The 4,953-nt window shown below is 51.1% G+C and overlaps 1 annotated feature.

Annotated features, from left to right (window-relative positions):
* Positions 3,540-3,834: a silencer, noted in NCBI's record as "tiled region #4424; K562 Repressive DNase matched - State 5:Enh". NCBI's record gives its function as "represses a minimal TATA promoter and a strong SV40 promoter by Sharpr-MPRA in K562 cells {active_cell/tissue: K562}" and the evidence as "EXISTENCE:reporter gene assay evidence [ECO:0000049][PMID:27701403]".

A 4,953-nucleotide genomic window follows, 5' to 3' on the forward strand; every position in this document is an offset into this window, starting at 1 on the left:
CTTCTGAGAGGCTCAATCCTGGTATTTTTCCATCTGCCCCTGATGAGTCTGCAGCCTTCACTCAGGGTCCCTTCAGCCACAAGGACAGAAAACCCAAACCTGGGATTAAGCAATTTTTTTTTTTTTTTTTTTTGAGATGGAGTCTTACTCTGTCACCCAGGCTGGAGGGCAGTGGTGTAATCTCAGCTCACTGCAACCTCTGCCTTTTGGGATCAAGCGATTCTCCTGCCTCCGCCTCCCGAGTAGCTGGGATTACAGCTGCCTGCCACCACGCCCGGCCTTCTAATTTTTGCATTGTTTTAGTAGTGATGGGGGTTTCACCATATTGGCCAGGCTGGTCTTGAACTCCTGACATCATGATCTGCCCACCTTAGCCTCCCAAAGTGCTGGGATTACAGGAGTGAGCCACTGCACCTGGCCGGGATTAAGCAACTTTTAAAAGATGAATTTGGCCAGGTGCTGTGGCTCACGCCTGTAATCCCAACACTTCGAAAGGCCAAGATAGGGGGGATCACTTGAGGCCAGGAGTTCAAGACCAGCCTGGTCAACATGGCAAAACCCCATCTCTACTAAAAATACAAAGATGAGCCGGGTGTGGTGGTGGGCACTTGTAATCCCAGCTACTCGGGAGGCTGAGGCAAGAGAATTGCTTGATCCTGGGAGGCGGAGGTTGCAGCGAGCCAAGATTGCACCACTGCACTCCAACCGGAGTACCAGAGCAAGATTCCATCTCAAAAAAAAAAAAAAGAATGTACCAGGTATGGTGGCTCCACCTGTAGTCCCAGCACTTTAGAAGGCAGAGGCGGATAGATCACGAGGTCAGGAGATGGAGACCATCCCGGCTAACACGGTGAAACCCTTTCTCTACTAAAAATACTAAAAAAATTAGCTGGGCGTGGTGGCAGGCACCTGTAGTCCCAGCTACTCAGGAGGCTGAGGCAGGAGAATTGCTTGAACCCAGGAGGCAGAGGTTGCAGTGAGCCGAGATCATGCCACTGCACTCCAGCCTGGGTGACAGAGCGAGACTCTGTCTGAAAAAAAGAAGGCTGAGGCAAGAGGATCACTTGAGCTTAGGAGTTTGAGACCAGCCTGGGCAACATAGCGAGACCCCGTCTCAGAAAAAGAAAAAAAATTAGCTGGGCATGGTAGTGTGTGCCTGTAGTCTCAGCTGCTTAGGAGGCTGGTGTGGGAGGATCCCTTGAGCCCTGGAGTTTGAGGCTGCAGTGAGCCATGATCTATCACTCCACTGCACTCCAGGCTGGGTGACAGAATGAGGCCCTGTCTCTAATAGAAAAAAGAATAAATAAAAATGAATTATGATAAAAACCAAGATGTCCCAAGGCAGGATGACTTCAGGGAACCAGGTTCTCGCATCCCCTAGCTGTGCCAAGGATAGGTTTGGGGGCTGGACCCCCCCTCATGGTCCCAAGGTAGCTGCAGCTGCTCCAGATGTCACCAACAGCCAGTGAAGGAAGAGGCCGCATTCTGTTCTGGGCATTGTTAAGTGGGAGAAAATCTGTCCCCAGAGTTCCCTCTCCTTTCAGCCCTCTCCTCATGTTCCCTTATATCCCACTGGCTGTGAGGCACAGGTCAGTGACAGCTGCAGACAGATCCACCAAGCTGGCATCCACCAGTGGTGATTTCATCCTCACCTGGGATGGGGATGCTTTCCTTGGACCAAGTTGGGGTCTGGTAAAAAGCAAGCGGGGAATATTTGTTTTTGTTTTGTTTTGTTTTTGGAGACAGAGTCTTGCTCTGTCTCCCAGGCTGGAGTACGATGACGCGATCTCGGTTTACTGCAACCTCTGCCTCCTGGGTTCAAGCGATTCTCCTGCCTCAGTCTCCTGAGTAGCTGGGATTACAGGTGCCCAGCACACACCCGGCTAATTTTTCTGTATTTTTAGTAGAGATGGGGCTTTCACCATGTTGGTCAGGCTGGTCTTGAGAACTCCTGACCTCAGGTGATCCCCCCGCCTCGGCCTCCCACAGTGTTGGGATTACAGGCCTGAGCCACCACGCCCGGCCAGGAGTATTTGTTTAAATGAAATTCTGGCCAGGCACAGTGGTTCATGCCTATAAGCTCAGCACTTTGGAGGCCAGGGATGGGCAGGGTGGGGGGTTTCAGGAGAGGATGACAGGAGGATGACTCAAGCTCAGAGCTCAAGACCAGCCTGAGCAACATAGCAAGACCTCATCTCTAAAAAAAAAAAAAAAAAAAAAAAAAAAATTAGCCGGGTGTTGTGGCATGCACCTGTGGTCCCAGCTACTCAGGAGGCTTAAGGACAGAAGAATCGCTTGGCCACAGAAGGTTAAGGCTACAGTGAGCCATGACCACGCCACTGCACTCCAGCCTGGGAGACAGGGCAAGACCCTTTCTCGAGAAAAATAAATAGGCCGGGCACAGTGGCTGATGCCTATAATCCCAACGCTTCAGGAGGCCAAGGAGGAAGGATCCTTTGAGCCCAGGAGTTTGAGGCCAACCTGGGCAATATAGGGAGACCCCATCTCTATGTAAAAAAATAAATAAATAGGGCCAGGCGCAGTCACTCACAACTATAATCCCAGCACTTTGGGAGGCTGATGTGGGCGGATCACTTGAGGGCAGGAATTCAAGCCCAGCCTGGGCAACGTGAAACCCCGTCTCTACAAAAAAATACCAAAATTAGCCGGGCGTGGTGGTGTACACCTGTAATCCCAGCTACTCAGGGAGGCTGAGGCACAAGAATCACTTGAACCTGGGAGGCAGAGGTTGCAGTGAGCCAAGATCACACTACTGTACTCCAGCCTGGGTGACAGAGCAAGACTCCATCTCAAGAAAAAAAAAAAAATTAGCTGGGTGTGGTGGCACATGCCTGTAGTCCCAGCTACTTGGGAGGCTGAGGTGAAAGGATCGCTTGGGCCTGGGAAGCGGTGATTGCAACGCTGCACATCAGCCTGGGTGACCAAGCGGGACTCTGTCTCAGAACAAAACAAAACAAAAATACATATTCCCAGATCCTGGAATGTCCTGGGAAGCTATATGTGTGTCATGCCCTCCCAGCTGCACCTGAACAATGAGCATAGCAAACATCAGCTGCAGCCTCTCTTTGCCTCTCTCAGAAAATGAGGGGAGTTGAGCTTCAGTGACCCAATCTGGAAAACGGGCCTAAATGGTGTTCTTTGAAAGGTTCATATAGGCAAAGCGGTCCCCAAATGCCGAAGGAGCCAAGAAACCAAAGAATGAGGCCGACCCATCTAGTTTGTCAATACAGGGTGGTTTATTAGGGGGAAACTTAGAGTGTGGTCTTCGCCAGGCATGGTGGCTTATGCCTGGAATCCCAGCACTTTGGGAGGCCGAGGCAGGTGGCTCACTTGGGGTCAGGAGTTCGAGACCAGCCTGACTGACATGGTGAAACTTGTCTCCACTAAAAATACAAAAATTAGCCAGGTGTGGTGGTGGGCGCCTGTAATCCCAGCTACTGGAGAGGTTGAGGCAGGAGAATCACTTGAACCCGGGAGGTGGAGACTGCAGTGAGCCGAGCTCACGCCACTGCACTCCAGCCTGGGCTACAAAGCAAGACCCTGTCTGGAAAAAAAAAAAAAAGAAGTGTGGTCTTGGGCAGCAGCAAGACAGATAGATCACACCCTGCAACCCCCAGACACAGGGCTTCTATCTCGAGGAAAGCATATCTGTGCTCTGGAAGAAACGCGTAGGTGGCTATGGGCGATACATCTTGTGATGGATGTGACAACATCAAGGCTTGTTCTGGAGGAAAGGCTGGTAAGTACGTGTTTCTACATAAAGAGTAACACATCCGTTAGACATGTTGGAGGCATTCCCAGTTTCGGGTTAGTCAGAAGTCACACGGCAGGCTGGGTGCAGTGGCTCATGCCTATAATGCCAGCATTTTGGGAGGCTGAGGCAGGAAGACCGTTCGAGCCCAAGAGTTTGAAACCAGCCTGAGCAACATAGTGAAACCCCGTCTCTTTTTTTTTTTTTTTGAGACAGAGTCTCACTCTTGTTGCCGGTGGCTCGATCTCGGCTCACTGCAACCTCCGCCTCCCGGGTTCAAGTGATTCTCCTGCCTCAGCCTCCTGAGTAACTGGGATTACAGGCGCCCACCACGCCCAGCTAATTTTTGTATTTTTAGTAGAGACAGGGTTTCGCCATGTTGGCCAGGCCGGTCTCAAACTCCTGTCCTCAGGTGATCTGCCCTCCTCTGCCTCCCAAAGTGCTGGGATTATAGGCATGAGCCACCACGCCCAGCCAACCCTGTTTCTTTCTTTTTCTTTTTTTTTTTTTTTTGATACGGAGTCTTGCTGTGTCCCCCAGGCTGGAGTGCAATGGCACAGTCTCGGCTCACTGCAACCTCCACCTCCCGGGTTCAAGCAATTCTCCTGCCTCAGCCTCCCAAGTAGCTGAGATTACAAACCCCGTCTCTTAAAAAAGGAAAAAAATCACATGGCAGAGTAGCATTTTAAAATAAAGTCACGAGGCTGGGCGCGGTGGCTCACGCCTGTAATCTCAGCACTTTGGGATGCTGAGGCAGGCGAATCACCCGAGGTCAGGAGTCTGAGACCAGCCTGACCTACGTTGAGAAACCCCGTCTCTACTGAAAATACAAAATTACCCGGGCCTGGTGGCGCATGCCTGTAATCCCAGCTGCTCAGGAGGCTGAGGCAGGAGAATCGCTTGAACCCAGGAGGTGGAGGTTGCGGTGAGCCGAGATCACGCCATTGCACTCCAGCCTGGACAACAAAAGCAAAACTCCGTCTTAAAAAATAAATAAATAAATAACATTAAACTACGTCACTCAGCCTGTGAACAATGGCTCACGCTTATAACCCAGCAATTTGGGAGGCCGCAGCAGGTGGATCACTTGAGGTCACGAGTTCGAGACCAGCCCGGCCAACATGGTAAAACCGCATTTCTACTAAAAATACAAAATTAGCTGGGTGTGGTGATGGGCGCCT

The sequence above is a fragment of the Homo sapiens genome, chromosome 19 (assembly GCF_000001405.40).
Source record: "Homo sapiens chromosome 19, GRCh38.p14 Primary Assembly".
NCBI lineage: Eukaryota > Metazoa > Chordata > Mammalia > Primates > Hominidae > Homo > Homo sapiens.